Below are 20,933 nucleotides of genomic sequence, written 5' to 3'. Positions count from 1 at the left end.
ATCAACATTGTATAAGCATTCCCTTTTCTCTGAAGCCTCACCAGCACCTGTTCTTTTTTGCCTTTTTAATAACAGCCATTCTGGGCCTGGCGCGGTGGCTCACGCCTGTAATCCCAGCACTTTGGGAGGCCAAGGTGGGTGGATTGCCTGAGATCAGGAGCTCCAGACCAGTCTGGCCAACACGGTGAAACCCCATCTCTACTAAAAATACAAAAAAATTAGCCGGACGTGGTGGCATGAGCCTGTAATCCCAGCTACTCGGGAGGCTGAGGCAGGGGAATTGCTTGAACCAGGGAGGTGGAGGTTGCAGTGAGTGGAGATCCTGCAACTGCACTACAGCCTGGGCAACAGAGCCAGACTCCATCTCAAAAAAAATAAATAAATAAGCTAAAAAAAAAATAGCCATTCTGACTAGTGCGAGATGGTATCTCATTGTGGTTTTGGTTTGAATTTCTCTGATGATTAGTGATGCTGAGCATTTTTCATATGTTTTTTGGTCATCTGTATGTCTTCTTTTGAGAAGCATCTGTTTATGTCCTTTGCTCATTTTTAATGAGGTTATTTGTTTTATTTGCTTGTTGATTTAAGTTCGCTTAGATTGGATAAAGAATATTCGGTAAATATACACTATGGGATACTATGCAGCCATAAAAAAGAATTAAATAATGTCCTCTGCAGCAACAAGGATGAAGACAGAGGTCATAATCCTAAGCAAATTAACTCACAAATAGAAAATCTAATACTGCATATTCCCACTTATAAGTGGGAGCTAAACATTGAGCACACGTAGACATAAATATGGGGACAGTATACACTGTGGACTACTAGATGGTGGAGAAAGGAGGGTGGGTGGGTTAAAAAAAATTACCTATAGAATACTATGCTTACTACCTGGGTGAAGGGATCCATACTCCAGACCTCAGCACAACACAGTATTCCCATGTAACAAAATTGCATGTGTTCTCTAGATCTAAAATGAAAGTTGAAATGAAATTTTAAAAGTTAAGGCAAAAAATATTTTTCCATTCCTTTCCTTTTTTCTTTTTAGCTTTCCCTTTTTCCTTCTTTGTCTATGTATTGTGGAATAATATAAATAAGTATTTTTTAATTTATTGAATAAAATCATCTATTAGTATTGCAAATATCATATTTTGGACCATTTTATATCTCTTAAATGCAAGTTACTTTTTACCTATGTGATTATTTGCATTGTTGTACTATTACTGCTAAGAAAAAGGCCTTCATAGCATACTCACAAACATTTTGTCAATACTCCACCCACAGGATTCTTCTACTTTTGTATATATTAAAAGTTCAAAAATCTATACACCTTCCAGAGAGAGAGCCTCCCTCATCTACTTAATTTAACTGATAGGATTTTGCTATCATTTGAATGTTTGTTCCCTCCAAAACTCATGTTGAAACTTAATCCCCAAAGTAGCAGAATTGAGACATAGGGTATGTAAGAGGTGTTTGGGTCATGAGGTCAGAGCCCTCATGAATGGCCTAATCCATTTATGGATAAATGGATTAGTAGAGTAATGAGTTATCACAGGAGTGGGACTGGTGGTTTTATTAGAAGAGGAAGAGACACCTAAGCCAGCAGGCTCAACCCCCTTACCATGAGATACCCTGTATAGCCTAGGGACTCTTCAGAGAGTTCTCTCAGTAAGAAGGCCCATAAAATGTGGTTCTTTGACCGTGGACTTCCCAACCTCTATAACTGTAAGAAATATTTTTTTCTTTATAAATTCTCCAGTTTCAAGTATCCATTATAAGCAACAGAAAAGGAACTGAGAGATTTGTTGATGATATTCAGATGTTATGTTTCTACAGATTTATTTGTGGATGACTGACATAAAATTAATGGTCAGCATGTATTTAAAGGTACAATTTGATAAGTTTTGACCTATATATATATATATATATAAACCTCTGAAAATATCATGATAGTTAAAATAATAACCATATCCACATCCACTACTCGCCAAAGTTGTCTTGTGCCCTTTTGAATCCCTCCCTTCTGCCAACCCCACTTCCTGCTCCCAGTTATCCACTAATATGCTTTCTGTAGGTGTATATTTGTTTGTTTTTTCTAGACCATTATAAGATGGAATCATATAGTATGCACTCTTTTTTGATGGGGGTGGATCGGACTTTTTCTCAGCTTAGTTGTTTTAAATTTCACTCATGTTGCTGCATGTGTCAATCATTCTGTCCTTTTTATTGCTAGTGGTCCATTATAAATTAATGTCACAACTTATACATTCATTCGTCAATGAAGATTTGACTTTTCTCTCCACAGTATTTTAACATTTTGGCAAATATTCATTGGTCTGCTACCAAGTCATTGTTTCAGATGTATAAACTGCTTCAAAAATGTCTCAGTAAGGTAAAATATTCCCTTTGTCATGTTGTGTAAACATAATCTTTCCAAAAATAGTGTAGACAAAAAATAAATTTCCATCAGAATTTTTCTTCAAAATATAGAGGATGTCTATAAATATGTTTTTACAACAAACCTGTATATTTGAAATTATCAAATGAACCATATAAGACGGCTGTTTATACGACTGGGTTTCTTTCAAACATTACTAGGGTGAGAATTGATAAGTCAGATGATGTTCTGGAAAAAGTAGGTGTGAAATATAGCAAGGATTGATACAATAGCTCAACAGGGACAGTAGGTGTGAAATATAGAAAGGATTGATATAACAAAAGCTCAACAGGGACAGTGCTCTCACCCTTTAAGTCCTGTTAGGTATTATTATTAAAGACAATTACTGTGGAAACCCAGCTTTTATTTTAATAGCCTAATTTGTTTCACTTGGATCTTAAGATCAGCAGAACAAAGCCTATATGACAGTGGCTGAACAGGCCATAAAAGACCCCATCTTGACCATAATCTGAGTCTGATGCATCCTGTTTCTGCCAAACCCTCCTTCTCCCTTACCTAGATAGGCCAGGTCAAGCAAGGCCAAGATCAGGGCAAATAATCTAGCAATGAATTGGCGTATCTCTTGACTCTGAGCCTGGAGAAATTGCAACAGATGAGCCTATTCATCAGAAGTGTAATCTGTCACCTCTACTTTTCATGGAATCAAAAACTGTGTGTGTGTGTGTGTATGTGTGTGTGCTTTGTTTGTTTTACTCTTCACAAGAATGCCATAGAAGAAACCAACAACTGTGTATCTTGAGAGCTGAAGGATAAGGTGGTAAATATATTCTAGTGAGATGAAACACATAGCCATACCCTTCTCTAAAACATGATCTGATAGCAGAGGAGAGCTATTCAATCTAAAGAAGGAAGGGTCTCTGAAACACACTCTCCCTTTCTTTCCAGTAACACTTTTCCTTTAGGTAGTCCCAGAAGAGGTGCTTTGGATAAAGAAAGACTAATTACTTTTACTGATGTGAATGACATACTATTTATGTCTAGCATATCCTAACAAGTATTCATATTGATTCAATATGTATAAACTCTCTCTTTGGTCCTATTACCTTCCAGATGTTTTTCTGATGATGTGTATTTAGTTTTATGTTTCTAGTCTGTAGCTTACATAGCATGGTTACCTGCTTACAACTTAAGGAAAAAAGGTAAAAGAATATTGGCAGTCTGACAATATAACAGCATACCAACAAAATGTTCCCCAAGAGATCAACAGTTCAAATGCTGGTTTCTGACAAGTTTTCTGACTTAAAAAGAAAACCAACTCATATATTTTACTGAGGAAATACGTATTGTTTCCCCAGCAATCTGAGTGCAGTAAAAATCACACACGTGGGTAATTAGGCATTAATCTCAGTAATGGAACAGCCCCACCTACCCTCGACCCTATCAGCATACAACGAGACTGGTTATTTTTTAGTGAGACACTTTTTTTGTTTCTTTTCTTGCTTTCCATTTTGTCAAATTGAAGAAAATGGTGTTTTCTTGATTGGATCTACACTGTGGGGATGCCCTGATCCGCAGTCATGGGAATAGTTGAAGACACAAAGAAACCCAGGCACAAAATATTGCTATTTTCACAGAAAATATCCTGTGGAGAAATGACATTGATTATTCCTGGGTACATTTTAAGAAGGCTTAAAGATGTTCCTGAAACATCGTTCCTTTTCACTTTGTCTCACACATGAATAGAAGTGAAAGATGCTTTCATACAGCAAACCCTATGTGAGCAACAAAAATAATTGAATAAAAGTGGTTCAATAAAGATCACTACCTATATTGCTATAGTGCAACAAATACCTAATTAATGCCTACTATGTGCAAAATACTTAATATAATTAATATATAATTCCTGATAGCCTGAATTTTACTTTCCAGTAGAGAGGCAGGCATACACTTATATAACTATAATGAAAGGGGAACTATGAAAGACACCATAACAAAATCAAAATCATTCTGTTGACTGTCAAATGCTAGATCCCCAAATATCACCCAAATCACCTTCATCAAAATAACATATTTATAAGCAAAGCTGATTTTTCCACAATTGAGAGAGAACACTGCATCCACAGAGCTTTGGTAATGTCTTAAATTGGAAAAGACAAGATTAGAAATTATTAAGAATTGAAAGTTTGGCTTAGATGGGGGGACTTCCAATGGAAATTGGAGAGTGGGGGAAAAGATATGTGCTTAATTCAGATTGGGTAAGAATCATAATAATAATGGCTTAAGACAGGTGAAAAAAAGCAAGGAAAAAATTTTGAGGCAAGGAATTAATAGGAACTCAAGGTGAAAATTTTCTGCTGATGCTTTCCATTGAACAATTGGCGTTTTTGGGAAAGTTCCTGCAATGAGCAATTAAGCTACTTGCCTGGGAAAGGATATCCTAGAATAGTAGTCATGCTAATAAATGGCATAATAAAGTCATCCTAATATATAGTCCAGGCACTGGCAAACTGTGTCCAGGGGCTGAGTTCAGAAGCAACGAAAGCTTCTCACATTTTTCAACCTTTTCCAAGGTGGTTTTTTTTTTTTTTTTTTTTTTTAAGCAGAATATGTAACAGAGATTTTAGGTGGCCTACAAAGCCTACAATATTTACTTTCCGGTCCTTTACAGAAAATCTTTTGCTAAATACTGATATAGACAGTAAATTGGGTGACTGTGAGCACTCAGCCAGCAAGCATTTGATAGGTGTAGACAGTTCAGCTTCTCAGTACCCAAATAAGAGAGAGAGGAGACAGTCATTCCTACAGATAATGGTTGGTGAGAAATTTGGGTCTGTACAAAGGCAAACATGAGGAATGTAAAGATTTTTATCTTTTTTTGCAACCACTATATCAAGAAGCATATATTCATATCCTGATTTTTTTGTTTTTTTTTTTTTTTTTTTTTTTTGAGATGGCTTCTCGCTCTTTCACCAGGCTGGAATGCAGTGGCGCAATCTCGGCTCACTGCATGCCCCACTTCCCGGGTTCACGCCATTATCCTGCCTCAGCCTCCCAAGTAGCTGGGACTACAGGTGCCCGCCACCACGCCCATCTAATTTTTTTTGTATTTTTAGTAGAGACGGGGTTTCACCGTATTAGCTAGGATGGTCTTGATCTCCTGACCTCGTGATCCGCCCGCCTTGGCCTCCCAAAGTGCTGGGATTACAGGTGTGAGCCACCGCGCCCAGCTGGAACCCATTTTCGAAGACAACAAGTAATAGGAACAGAACAACTAAAGATATGAATTCCCGTAGAAAACCATTCATACATATGACACAGTTGGCAACGTCTATTTTTTTTTCCTTTTTATTGTTGAAAGACTGAATGCAAAGCAAACATTTTCCTTCATGGAATCTTTCTATGGCATTTTCTTCTCATGAATAAATATAAAACAAACTAGAATTTAATAGCCAAGTAGCCTGTTTGGAATCTATTAAAAGGATTAGACCCACTTGATACAATACAAATTGCTAATTAATGAAGTGATGCAAGTAAATCCTTAACAACATAAGCATAAAAAATTATTTTTTTGGCTTGAGTAGTAGATAACACATGAGTTTTTCATAGGTTCCAGTAAGACTATATATTATATATTCTTATTTCAAAATCATTCTGTTCTTTGAAGCTCTCCCAAAGTGAATACACTTGGCTGAGAACATTTCCATCCACAATTCACTTCTAGACCACACCAACATCACACTAATCCTAGGACTTTGAATTAATCTGTCAGAATATTCAAGTGCCATGTATGACTATTATAAACAGATAAAGCTAATATCCAGAAAAAGCTGAATATCATTTTTTAACATCTGTGATGGTTAATTTTATTCATTAACTTGACTGGACTAAGGGTGTCCAGATAATAGCTAAAACATTATTTCTAGGTGTGTCTGTGACAGTGTTTGTACAACAGATTAGCATTTGATTCAGTACACTGAGTAAAGAAAATCTGCCTTCACCAATGTGGTCAGGCATCATCCAATTCACTGCGCCCTAATAGAACAAAAAAGGGAGAGGAAGGGCAAATTCTCTCTTCTCGAGCTGGAACATGTATCTTTTTTTGTTCTCAAACATCCGAGACTCTGTTTCTCAGACTGGGAGTCATATCATCAGCTTCCCTGGCTCTCAGGCCTTCAGACTGAGATTGAATTACACCACCCACTCTCGTTCTCCAGCTCACTGATGGCAGACCATGGGCTTTCTCAGCCTCCATAATTTCTTGAGACAATACCCATAAAAAATCTCCTCTTGTATATTTATATATTGGTTCTCTTTTTCTAGAGAACACTAATACAAGATCCAATGATAAAGGTAATTGCTCCAGATGCTAGAAGCAAAATTTAAATAGAAGAAATGTGAGTTTTTCCATCAATGTTAAGAGGAAAACAGAAAGAGAGAGAGAGCCTTTAGTCATGTAGAATTAAGAGACTTAACCAAGTCTTTGGAATTAGAGTGTTCAGCACCACTAGAATGGAAATTTGAGACTCACATTTCTCATTTAAATAATTCTCTTGGAGACTTAGAATGTAGAATTTACACAAAAGATACCATCCAGTTTATTTCCATAAAAGATCTGAGTATCCTGTTTGAGGAAAATATTAGAGAAGACACAGACATTCTTACAATGACTAGGTCTATATGTTATAGACCATTAAGAGTTTAATTTGTTTTGTACTATTTGAAATGTAGCACCATGCTAGAATATTATTTTACTTATCAGATAGAGGGAAAGTAAAATAAAAAAGTCTTTATTTGATTGACTATTGGTTATAAATATCTGATAAATGAGATCAATTCGTAAATTGTTCATGTAACTGAGCCAGTTATCTTTGGGAATAACTCTTTTTTTCTGTGATAATTACAACTGGGGGAAAGAGAATAGTAATGAAAGACAACCCTAGTATGTGTGTTCTTTATATTTACTTATGGATGATCTTTAAAAAGCTCACTTATATGTTCCCCTAAATTTTGATTTATGATCTTTGTACAATGATTTGAGGACTACATGATGTTATAGATTAATTCAAATACTTTAGAGAGAGAAGAAAATGAGACTCAGAAAGGTCAAGTGTGTTTTTCAGATTCCTACATTAGGTCTCTTGGGCCTCTATTTCTCTCCTTTCTACCAAATCCTAACCACGATAAATGGTACAGGCTGAGCATCCAAAATCCAAAAATCTGAAATCCAAAATGCTCCAAAATATGAACATTTTTGACCCTCAAATAAAATGTTCGTTGGAGCCTCTCAGATTTCAGATTTTCAGATTTGGAATGCTCAACTGGTAAATGTAATGCAAATATCCCAGAATTAAAAAAAAATCAAAAATCCCAAATACTTCTGGTCCTAAGCCTTTTGAATAAGGGATACTCAGTCTGTATTTCTACTGTGTCATACTTCAGTAATTGGCCCAATAAGTTCAATAACGACCTTGCAATATTAGTGTCTTTACCTCAGCCAGAAATGAGTGGAAGGAACGTTATATGCAAACAGAAAAGGACACAGTTATTTTAATGTCCCTTCCTACCCTATCATTAGCCCTCTCTATCTTATCCCATTTATTGAGTTCATTAACCCTTAAAGAAACATACGAAACTTTAATGCCTGCACTTTTCTTAGTTTATGTATTATACTTCTATATCTCCATTTACATCGTGGTCCTGAATGCCATATTAATTATCTGGTTTACTCTTTCACCAGCCTCTTCAATTTCAAGTAAACTTCTGTACTTCTACTACACCCATTGAACCAACCAGAGGCAATTAGCATCCATTTTGAAGCAGCCAAAAATGTTGGTTCCTTCAAAATGGATGTTAAGTGACTTTGGAGAAAAATAGTATTATTCTATTATGTGGCTGGGTGACAATTTAGTGCTAGAAAGGCATTCAAGCTGCTGGACAATTATTTAATGTGTCTTTGGTAACCTCTTTCTTACACCCTTCAGTGACTGTCCCAATACTAATCACTGTCCTCATGCTGTCCCACAACCCAGCTCCTGCTCTCCCATTTGCAATAGAAAAATCTCATCACTCAAAGTACCAAATAGCACAGTATTGTAGCACTGTATTGCCGCCCTATCTTGCTTATCTTTCCTCACCATCTGATTGTAAATCATTTAGGAAGTAGCATTTCTTCTTTATCTTTGTATCTTCAATGGCTAGTATACAGGAAGATCCAGCATACATAGATGGGTATTGTTCATTGTTCTCTTTCTTTGCTCATTCTCTTCTTGCTGGAATTCCTTCCACCCTATCCTGTCTCTGTCTTCTTGCCATCCTTCCCACTTATTGCAGAATTACTTCTGAATTTGTTTGGTAATGTATTACACATCTATCTCCTCTCAGAAGGCTTCCTTGAATATTCTTACTCTGGGCTACCTGTGCTGACTATGCTCACAAAATGCCTTTCAATAACTCTGTTATCATTATTATATTGCCTCTATAATACATAGTTAAAAAAATCATGTAGCACAGAAAGTTACGAAATGAAAACTAAAATTTTCTCTTTCTCCAGTTCCTTGAAAGATAATGTCAGGATTAAATGGTTGACCTTTTCTCAAACCATGCCAATTACTCAAAATCATGGAGCAGTTGTTTGCTTTAAATTTGGATTACAACTTTCAATAACCTTTTTGTCTTATTGCGGATTTCAAGGGTTCAATTGCCTTTTTTTTGCTTGCTTATATAAGAAGCATATGTCTTTGGCTTAACTCTAAAATCATTCAAGTTCTCAACCAAAACATTTGTCAAAATGAAGCATCTGACTTCATGTTTCAATTAAAGCTAGTTATTCTCTAATGATGCACTAGAGTTCTCAATATGGCATTCCAAATTAAGTGCATTTTAAAAGTCTGTATATAGTTTTTTTAATTTTGTTTTCATTTTACTTTGGAGTATAACCTTACTCAGATTATGGATGGCTTGGCAAGAATATACAATTTTCTCTTTGTCTCACGGCCTCATTTTCTAATGCCAATCTGATTCCCGTTCACTTATCCATAAACTGGCATTTTTTTCCCCAATCACCTTTAAGACCATCTTTGTATCTTTAATGTTCTGAAATTTCATGAATGTGTTTAGAAATAGGACTTTTTCCATCATTCTAGGAACTTGTCAGGTTCTCCCAATTTGATATTTGTTGTTAAATGTTGTGAAATAATGTCAATTAGTTTTTTGACTAGTTTCTTGTCTCTATTTTTTCTGATCTTTCCAAAGTTCGCATTAGTCACATGATGGAATTCTAGCCTCTCTATCTCGATGTTTCTCTTTGATGTTTCTCTCAGAGTTTTCTCATTTTTTTTGACTTTTTTGCTCTATCTTTTGAGACTTTTTTTCTTTTATTTTCTAACACTTTTTTAATGGTTTTCTTTCCAGTAACATTTTCTAATTCTCTGATAATTTTTTAAAACATAAGCTTGATCTTGTTTTATTTACTGCAGAATGTTCTGGAATCTCTAAGGAAACTCAAAATACAATTTTCTGTTCCTTGAGTTCTGTTTTTTGGGGCATCTTTTTTTTTCTATTTGTTATCATTATGCTTCTCTACATTTGTTCTTCACTTCTTGAAAATTTCTGGTGCTATTTTGTTCTCAATTCATATCTGTGAATGAATATGTGTTAAATATTAGTTATTGACCTTGATCTCCTATGACTTTGTATAGGTGTCTTTGTTGCTCTGTGGAGAAAAACGTACTGAGTTTTATTTTATTTATTTATTTATTTATTTTTTTATTTTTATTTTTATTTTTTACATTTCTTTGAAAATTTTTCTTTTATTTTTCTTTTTTTTTTTTAATTATACTTTAAGTTTTAGGGTACATGTGCACATTGTGCAGGTTAGTTACATATGTATACATGTGCCATGCTGGTGCGCTGCACCCACTAACTGGAGATGGAGTTTCGCTCTTGTTGCCCAGACTGGAGTGCAGTGGCAGTGATCTCGGCTCAGTGCAACCTCTGTCTTCCAGTTTCAAGTGATTCTCCTGCCTCAGCCTTCCGAGTAGCTGGGATTACAGGTGCCCCACCACCACGCCTGGCTAATTTTTGTATTTTTAGTAGAGACGGGGTTTCACCATGTTGGCCAGGTTGGTCTTGAACTCCTGACCTCTTTATCTGTCTGCCTCAGCTTCCCAAAGTGCTGGGATTACAGGCGCAAGCCACTGCACCTGGCCAAAACTTACTGAGTTTTATATCAGAGTTAGAGGTATGTCAAGTGGAAGACTTCATTCTCACTTGCATGTGTGGAAAGAATACAGGTCTCCTACAACCACCAAACCTCCTGTCTTGTGCCAAGATAAGATGTTGACTCTGAGTCCTTGCCCACCGTAAATAAATTTTTCAACTTCTTTAAACAGCACATCTCTAGTCTTCATCTTGGTGTTAGATGCTCTAAAGGTGGAGGATGAAAGCATGTGGTAATCTGCTTTTGATATTATGAATAAAAGCATAAATGAATGACTCTGTTTTGTAGCCTACTCCTGGTCTCTGATCTTGAAGGCCCACTAAGGCTCTGGTGGGTGGGGGAAGAACAGTTTTTATTTCTACTAGAGTTTCCTCCTCTTTACATTTCTACTTTGCTACTAGAATCATCTGCTATTCTTTATACTCCAAATATTCATGCATGTTTGAAAGTCTTTAAGCCACTCATGAAACTTCTCTCATTATGAGAGCAGTAATTAATTCACATCTTTTTATACAACTTAGGTGTCATTTCACAAAATCTGGAGTGAGAAGTGAAAGAAATATATGGACTTAGCCACCTTGAACAGTAGTACAACCAACACACATTCTTAGCAATATCCATTTATCAAAGTTGCAGTTAGTAAGAGTTGGGACTCTTACTGATGAAGATTAGATATTTGCTGCCTTACTTATGATGCATGGTTAACGAGCTCTGTAATTTCCTACTTGAAATGCATTCACCTTTTTGTCAACAGTAAACAGGTTGTGGCAATAGGAATACCTATATATGTAAATGTTCATGTAAATGTCTTTCTGCACTAAATAGTTGAAAATCCGTAAGTATATAAATCACGTCTTAATCTTTAACTTGATAGCAGCTGCTCCCCAAATGTTTGTTCAACTGACCTGTAAAAATTACTATTTAGTTTTTACAGAAAAGAGGAACAGGCCTAGGTCCAATGAATGAAAGTTACAGAAAGACATATAAGGGTAGATTATCTAACAATTAAGCACTTCAGCAATGAAACAATCCATCTCAGAGACAGTGAGTTCTTGGTCAACAGAATGTTCAAGTAGAGATTTGAAGACCACCTGTAAGGCAACATCTTTCATTGGTAGAAAGGTTTGTTCAAAGAAACTATAGCTATATTTTAACTCTGAGATTTTAATGTCCATTCAACTGTTGCCCGCAGCTGAGAAAAAGCTATGCCACAAAATGCAAGCAAAACAATTGAGTCAAGTAGCTAGCCAATGTGCATACTTCTCAGGCTGCAAAAGCCATCTGGTTATCAAAATCTCTTCTCTGGTGTCTCACAGGAGATGCAGCTTCTCCATGGTAAATATACTTTATAATGAGTACAATCTTATCTGTCCACTAAAGTTTTGCTTGCTTTAAATATAGTTTCTTTTAATATTATCCTAATTTATTCAACACTGTTGCTAATTTTCCAAGCCAGAGAGAATAAATTTGAAATATAACAATTATTAATAAAGTGATGTTAATTATAAGCAAAAATGATTACAATTTCTTGAGCAGTAGCATTTCTTTCATTACAAAGGGGTTCAAAGCAGCTTAGAAGAATTACAAACTGTATGTCTGATCTTCAGTTTCATAGATCTCTTCATTCATTCATCTACTTTTATACAGGTCTTGTATAACGATAAGATAACTTTCTAAGCCTAAGAAGTGGAAAATTATATTGTGTTAATTATTATAATACTAAAAATATCTCTACAGTGTCTTCTCTGTACTAGTGTTGATTAGTGTTCATAAACTTAAGTACCTACAGGGTGCTAGCAGCTAAAGTGAATGAGTGTTTTAGGTTGCTATTAAAAAATAAACTTTTTTTTTTTTTGGTGAAGTAGACTATCCTTTGCAACAGCCTAGTTTCATTTTTATTCATAACCCAGCCCAAACAAATGGTTTCGGTGTTTTGTCTTTCCAACAACCTAGTGGGGGGATTGGGGAGAGATGGGATATTTAATGGGTACAAAAATAGAAAGGGGCCGGGCGCAGTGGCCTGGTTCACACCTGTAATCCCAGCACTTTGGGAGGCCGAGGCGGGCGGATCGCAAGGTCAGGAGATCAAGACCATCCTGGCTAACACGGTGAATCCCTGTCTCCACTAAAAATACAAAAAATTAGCTGGGCGTGGTGGCAGGTGCCTGTAGTCCCAGCTACTCGGGAGGCTGAGGCAGGAGAATGGTGTGAACCTGGGAGGCGGAGCTTGCAGTGCGCTGAGATTGCACCACTGCACTCCAGCCTGGGCAGCAGAGCGAGACTTCATCTCAAATAAATAAATAAATAAATAAATAAAAATTAAAAAATTGGATAAATAAGGCTTACTGTTGCATAGCACAACGGGGTGATTATAGTCAGTAATAACATGTACATTTTAAAGTAACTTAAAGAATATAATTTGATGGTTTGCAATTCAATGGATACATGCTTGAGGGGACAGATACCCAGATACCCCCTCATTCATGATGTACTTATTTCACATTACATGCCTGTAATTTTTTAAAATAAGTATTTGTTTCCTCTTTAGTACTATTCTAGGTAAACGCAACAGTCTAAGCTTGCTCATTCAAACTGTATCATAGTGGGGAATAGTGGGTCAGTGGTAGATTGGAGAGTAGAAGCCTTGTGTGTGTTACTGTTATTTTAAAATTCATTGTAAAATATTGCAGATATACTAGAAGATATAAACTATACCGAAGTAAATATCTATGTACCCATCATTCAGTTTTAGAAGTAAAACATTGCAAAGGCTGTTGGAGATTCCTGAATACCTAACCTTTTCTTCTTATGCACCCTACCTACCTGTTCTCAGACATATTCATTATATTGATTTGCTTCTTAGTAGTTTCATGCACTTCTGCAAGTAATTATTATATAATTGTGTATCTTTAAAATCAAATATAATTGCTTTTCATATGTTAAAATTAACGTACATGATGTACTATATGTATTCATTTATCAATGGTTTTTCCATTCAAAAGTATGTCTGCAAGATTCATCCATATTGATACCAGTAACAGATCCATTTCTATTTGTTGCTGTATAATATTCCATTGTATGAACATATCAACACTTATTTACCGATATAATTACATTTATTGTTTATTCTTTGTGTATATTGATGAAGATAGACTTTACTACTCTGAGTTCATACAGATATTCCTGTATTCATTTTTAATTTGCTAGAATTTATTTTTGTATGTAGTTTAGAGGAAGAATCTAATTTCATTTTTTTCATAAGGCTAACTAAAACAAAATGCCATTTATGAGTTAATATTTTGCTCATTGATGTGTGATACCAGCACTTATATGTGTCAGGTTTCCCTTGCTCTACTTGCCTATGCCTGTGTCAATATCACAGTATTTTAGCTATAATAAAGATATAGTAGATCTTAATAGCTGGTATGGCATACATACCCATACCTACCCATCTCATTTATCAAAAATAATTTGATTCTTCATTACTTATTTCTCTTCTACATATATTTTAGAATAAATATAATTTTTGGCAAAATATTATGTTATTGGCAGTGCATTAACTTTATGAATACATTTAGAAACAACATCTTTACTAGATTTAGCACTTTCAGTCTATGAACATGGAAAATTTACTTCTTTATGCCATTTAAAACATGATTATAAAACTTTTTATTTTCTTTTAGTGATTTTGGAAAGATTATGTTGCTGTTGTGTATGATCCCTTTTATCTAAGCATCCATATTTACTGGAATAAAGTATCAAAATATTTAGTAATTTTATTTAGATAAGTATCCTGTCCATATTTTCTTGTTTAGAACAAAAGTGCCAATGCAGGCACGTCGTGGGTGATCAGGCCACACTTCCACTCAGATGGAGTGGGGCAAGTTCCAAAGACTAGTCTTACCAAGTCAAGTCAAGTCAAAACCAGAACAAAAGTGCCAATACAGGCACACCGTGGGTGATCAGGCCACGCTTCCACTCAGATGGAGTAGGGCAAGTTCCAAAGACGAGTCTTACCAAGTTTCAGATGTCCGGACTCCAAGTGCCAGTTCCTTCCCGGTGTTCAGCCACTGTGTTAATCCTCCACAGGGGCCTGCTACGTGCTGTTCTGGTGAGGCGTTCCACCCAGGCAATTTTCTACCCAGGAGTGCTCTTTGGATCACGTCACTCAGGCTGGCCAGAGTCCCCTGCAGGGATGCTCCACAGGGCAGGCCTAAGCTGCCTAAGGGGCTACCTCGGCCATCCCTCAGTTACCTCGATTCCCGGTCAGGGGACCAAGAAATGTAGAAGGACGAGCCGCAGACAAAACCTCTCAGACACCAAGTTGTAGAAGGAAGGGCTTTATTCAGCTGGGAGGATCGGCAAGCTGCTGCCTTAAAATCCGAGCACCCCAAGTGCACAATTTCTGTCCCTTTTAAGAGCTCACAACACTAAGGATTTCACATGAAAGGGTTGTGATTGATTTCAGCAAGCAAGGAATACGTGACAGGGGCTGCATGCACCAGTGGTCAGAGAGAAACAGAACAGGGCAGGGAGTTTCACAGTGTTCTTCTATACAATGTCCGGAATCTACGAATAACATTGGTTTCTAGGTTATGAGTTGATTTTTAACTACTGGGTTTAGGCCAGGCAGGCCCAGGCCTGGTTTTGGGCCTGGCACTGGGCTGCCTGTCTTTGATTTCACTTCCTTGTTTTTTTCTTAAAACAGGTACTGAGTATAATACAATATGAGAGGATCTCTCTCTTCTCTCACTATGGTATTTTTTTTAAAATGTGTACTCTTTACTTGCAGGGTACAGGTTTCATATATGTGCATTAAAGCAGACTTTTGTTATGTTGTTCTAATGTTCTCTTTTTTTTTCATTTTTGTCTATTTGATTTATCACTTACAAAAACACGCATGCTAAAAACTTCCAGTCTGACAGGGGATTTGTGAGTTTTATCCTATGATTTTTATCCAATTTGCTTTATATATTTTTTCTTTTTTAAAAAATTATTTCTAATTTTTATGGGTACATAGTGGGTGCATATATTTATGGGGTACATGAGTTATATTAAGGATACAAGCATACAGCGAGTAATAATCACATCAGGGAAAGTGGAGTATACATCACTTCAAACATTTATCATTTATCTGTGTTACAAACTTTCTAATTATACCCTCAATTATGTAAAAATGTGCAAAAGATTAATTTTTCCTGTAGTCACCCTGTAGTGCTATCAAATACTAGATCATGTTCATTCTATGTTTTTGTACCCATTAACTATCCCCACTTGCCCACCCACCTCAATCCCTACTACCCTTCCTAGCCTCTGAGAAACATCATTCTACTGTCTCCATGAGTTCAATTTTTCATCTGTAACTCCCCCAAATGATTGAGAATATGCAATGTTTGTCTTTCTGTGCCCGGCTTATCTCACTTAACATAATGACCTCAGGTACCATCCATGTTGCTGCAAATGACAGGATCTCATTCTTTTTTATGGCTGAGTTTTACTCCATTGTGTATATGTACCACATTTTCTTTATCCATTCTTCTGTTAACAGACACTTAGGTTACTTAAAATGTCTAGAATAGCCAATTTTGGCTATTCTGAATAGTGCTGCAATAAACACAGGAGTGCAGATATCTCTTTGATCAACTGATTTCCTTTCTTTTGGTTATATAACTAGCAGTGGGATTGTTGAACCATATGGTAGCTCTAGTTTTAGTTTTGGAGGAACCTCAAAAGTGTTCTCAATAGTGGTAGTACTAATTTGCATTCCCACCAACACTGGAGAAATGTACCCTTTTATCCACATCCTCACCAGTATTTTTTATTGCCTGTCTTTTCAATAAGAGCCATTTTAATTGGGGTAAGATAATATCTCTCGTAATTTTGAGTTACATTTGTATGATGACCAGTAATGTTGAGCACTTTTTCAGATACCTGTTTGCTATTTGTATATCTTATTTTGAGAAATGTCTATTTCAATTTTTACCCACTTAAAAATCAGATTATTAGATTTTTTTCCTATTGAATTATTTGAGTTCCTTATATATTCTGGCTATTAATCTCTTGTCAGAGGAATAGTTTGCAAATATGTTCCCCTATTCCGTGGGTTGTCTCTTCACTTTGTTGATTGTTTCCTTTGTTGTGCAGAAAGGTTTTAACTTCATGTAATAGCATTTGTTGGCTGGGCACTGTGACTCACTCCTGTAATCCCAGCACTTTGGGAGGCCAAGGCGGGTGGATCACCTGAGGTCAGGAGCTTGAGACCAGCCTGGCCAACATGGTGAGACCCCATCTCTACTAAAAATACAAAAATTAGCTGGGCGTGATGGTGGGTGCCTGTAATCCTAGCTACTCAGGAGGCTGAGAGAATCGCTTGAACCCAAGAGGCAGAGGTTGCAGTGAGCCGAGATCGTGTCATTGTACTCCAGCCTGGGTGACAAGAGCGAAACTTCATGCCCTACCAAAAAAAAAAAAAAAAAAAAAAAAAAAAGCATTAGTTAATTTTTGCTTTGGTTGCCTGTGCTTGTGGTGTAATATTCAAGAAACCTTTGCCAACTGCAGTGTTTTGATGAGTTTCTTCAATTACTTCTTTTAGAAGTTTCATAGGCTGAATTATTAGATTTAAGTCTTTAATCCATTTTGTTGTGATTTTTGTCTATGGCAAGCAACAGAAGTGCAGTGTCATTCTTCTGCATATGGATACCCAGTTTCCCCAGCACCAACTATTGAGGACTGTGTTTTCTCCAATGTATGTTCTTGGCACCATTGTCGAAAATAAGTTCACTGTAGATGGGTAGATTTATTTCTGTATTGTCTATTCAGTTCCATTGGTCTGTGTGTCTGTTTATGCCAGTACCATGCTGTTTGGTTTAGCTCTGTAGTATAATTTGAAGTGAGATAATATGATTTCTCCAGTTTTGTTCTTTTTGCTCAGGATTGCTTTGCCTATTCTGGGTCTTTTGTGGTTCCATATAAATTTTAAGATTATTTTTTCTGTTTCTGTGAAGAATGCCATTGATATTGTGATAGGGATTTGATTTCATATCCTGCATTGAATCTGTAGATTGATTTGGGTAGTATGGGAATTTTAACAATATTGATTCTTCCAATCCACAAACGTGGAATATCCTTTCAGTTTGTGGTGTTCTCTTCAATTCCTTGCATCAATGTTTCATAGTTTTCATCGTAGAGGTTTATAACTTTTTTGGTTGAAGTTTATTTTTACATATTTATTGTATTCACAACTACTGTAAATAGGCTTACTTGATTTCTTTTCCAGATTGTTCACTGTTGTCATACAGATATGTTACTGAATTTTTATATTGATATTGTATCGTGCAACTTTACTAAATTTATTTGTTCTGATAGTTTTCTGGTGGAGTCTTTAGGTTTTTCCAAATATATGATCATATCATCTGCAAAAAAAAGGATAATTTCACTTCTTCCTTTCCAATTTGGATCCCTTTTTTTTCTTTCTCTTGTCTAGATAGGACTTACAGTACTATGTTGAGTAACAGTGAAGAAAGTAGGCATCTATGTCTTTTTCCAGATCTTAAAAGAAAGGCTTTCAGTTTTTTGCCATTTAGAATGATACTATCTGTGAGTCTGATGTATACAGCTTTTACTGTGTTGAGATATGCTCCTTCTAAATCCATTTTTGAAGGTTATCATCATGAAGTGTTATTGAATTTTACCAAATGTTTTTTCAGCATCAACTGTAATGATCACATGGTTTTTGTCCTTCATTCTGTTGATGTGATGTATCATATTGAGAGATTTGCATGCATTGAACCATCCTTATATCCCTGGGATAAATCCCACTTTGTCATGATGGATGATCTTTTAAAGGTGTTGTTGAATTCAGTTTCCTAGTATTTTCTTGGCAATTTTTGCATTAGTATTCATCAGAGATACTGGTTTTTAGTTTTCTTGTTTCAGTGTGTCATTATCTCACTTTTGTATCAGAGTAATACTAGCCTCATAGAATGAGTTTAGAAGGATTCCCTCCTCTATCTTTTGGAAAAGTTTGGGTAGGATTGATATTGGTTCTTTAAATATTTGGTAAAATTCAGCAGGGAAGCCATAGGGTCCCAGGCTTTTCTTTGCTGGGAGACATTTTTCTTTTTTTGAGACAGAGTCTCACCCTGTTGCCTAGGCTAGAGTGCAGTGGCATGATCTTGGCTCACTGCAGCCTCTGCCTCCACCTCCTGGGTTCAAGTGATTCTCCTGCCTCAGCCTCCTGAGTAGCTGGGATTACAGGTGTGAGCCACCAGGACTTGTTAATTTTTTAATTTTTTATTTCTGTTTTTAATTTTTTTGAGACCAAGTCTCACTCTGTGGCCTAGGCTGGAGGGCAGTGGTACAACCTCAGCTCACTGTAACTTCCGCCCCCTGGGTTTTAAGCGATTCTCCTGCCTCAGCCTCCCAAATTTTTTTATTTTTAGTAGAGACAGGGTTTCGCCATTTGGGCCAGGCTGGTCTTAAACTCCTGGCCTCAAATGATCCACCTACCTCGACCTCCGAAAGTTCTGGGATTACAGCCATGAGCCACTGAGTCCTGCTGCTGGCATACTTTTTATTGTCTTTGACCTTATTACCTTTTATTAGTCAATTCAGGTTCTTTGATTCTTCATGATTCAATCTTGTTGAGTTTTATGTATCTAGGAATTTATCCATTTCTTATAGGTTTTCCAGTATCAGTTGCAATGTCTTCTTTTTTCATCTCTGATCTTACGTGGGTTTTTCTTTTTCTCTTAGTCAAGTTAAAGATCTTTTTTATTTTGAATTGTTTTCTTCATTCAATTTTATTTATTTCTGCTCGATCTTTATTATTTCTTTTCTTCTACTAATTTTGGGTTTGTTTCGCTCTTGCTTTTCTAGTTTTTTAAGATTAAACTTTAGGTTATTTATTTGAAATTTTTCTACTTGTTTGATATAGGTGATTATTGCTATAAACTTTCCTCTTAGTACTGCCTTTGCAGTATTTCATAATTTTTGGTATGTTGGGTTTCCATTTTCATTTGTTTCAATATTATTTTTAAATTTCCTTCTTAATTTCTTCATTGACCCACTGGTCATTCAGGAGAATGTTGTTTAATTTCCATATGTTTGTGTAGTTTCCAAAGTTCCTCTTGATATTGATTCCTAGTTCTATTTCATTGTGGTCAGATAATATACTTGATACAATTTCTATTTTTTTGAATTTTTAAGACTTGTTTTGTGGCCTAACATACTGTCTGTCCTTGAGAATGTTCCATGCACTGAGGAAAGGAATGTGTATTTTGCAGCCATTGGATGAAATCTTCTGTAAATATCTATGAAGTCCATTTGGTCTGTGCTGCAGATTAAGTCCAGTGTCTTAAATATGACATGCCACTCTCTCCTGGCAGGTAAAATTTCCACTAAAAAGTCTGCTGCCAGGTGTATTGGAGCTCTTTTGCATGTATGGAAGCTCACTTGCTCCTTTGTTTCTTTTCTCTTGCTGCTTTTAGGGTCCTTTCTTTATTCTTGCCCTTTGGGAGTTTGATTATTAAATGTCTTGAGGTAGTCTTACTGGGGTTAAATCTGGTTGGTTTTCTATGACCTTCTTGTACTTGAGTATTGGTATTTTCCTCTAGGTTTCAAAAGTTCTCTCTTACTATCTTATTGAATTAAATTTCTACCCTAGTCTCATTCTGTATGACTTCTTTACAGCCAATAACTCTTAGATTTGACTTGCTGAGGCAATTTTCTAGGTCTTGTAGGCATGTTTTATTTTTTTAAACTGTTTCTTAAATTTTCTCCTCTCTAACTATATATTTTCAAATAGCCTGTCTTCAAGCTCATTAATTCTTCTGTTTGGTCAGTTCTGCTGTTGAGAGGCTCTGATGCATTCTCCAGCTCTAGAATTTCTTCTTGGTTTTGTTAAACTATTAAAAACTCCATTAAATTTATCTAATAAGTTTCGGCATTATTTCTCGCTGTTATCTTGAATTTCATTGAGTTCCCTCAAAACTGCTATTTTGAACTCTCTATCTGAAAGGTTACATGTCTCTGTCACCCTGGGATTGTTCTCTTGTGCCTAATTTAGTTCATTTGATGAGGTCATGTTTTCCTGGATGATCTTACGGATGTTCGTTGATGTGTGGGCATTGAAAGTTTGGGTATTTATTGCATTCTTCTCAGTCTGAGCTTATTTGTACCCATCCTTCCCGTGAAGGTTTCCTAAGTATTAAAAGAGAATTGAGGGTTGTAATCTAAGTCTTTGGTCACTGCCGTAGTATCTGTATTAGAAGGCACTGAAGCCCGGTAATGCTATGACTGTTGCAGACTTGTAGAGGT

General features: G+C 36.1%; 1 long non-coding RNA gene across 1 annotated transcript in view; it reads right to left on the bottom strand.

Annotated features, from left to right (window-relative positions):
• LINC01320 (long intergenic non-protein coding RNA 1320) overlaps positions 1 to 15,004 on the bottom strand; it is a 45,007-nt gene extending 30,003 nt beyond the window's left edge. Inside the window, exon 1 of the long non-coding RNA NR_126404.1 lies at positions 14,634 to 15,004. This is a non-coding gene — a long non-coding RNA (long intergenic non-protein coding RNA 1320). The remainder of the gene's footprint in view (positions 1 to 14,633) is intronic.
• Positions 15,005 to 20,933: the final 5,929 nt, after the last annotated feature.

Source organism: Homo sapiens, chromosome 2 (genome assembly GCF_000001405.40).
Source record: "Homo sapiens chromosome 2, GRCh38.p14 Primary Assembly".
Classification (NCBI taxonomy): domain Eukaryota; kingdom Metazoa; phylum Chordata; class Mammalia; order Primates; family Hominidae; genus Homo; species Homo sapiens.
The sequence above is the reverse complement of the archived record's forward strand: the minus strand, read 5'-3'. Positions and strand labels throughout refer to the sequence as shown.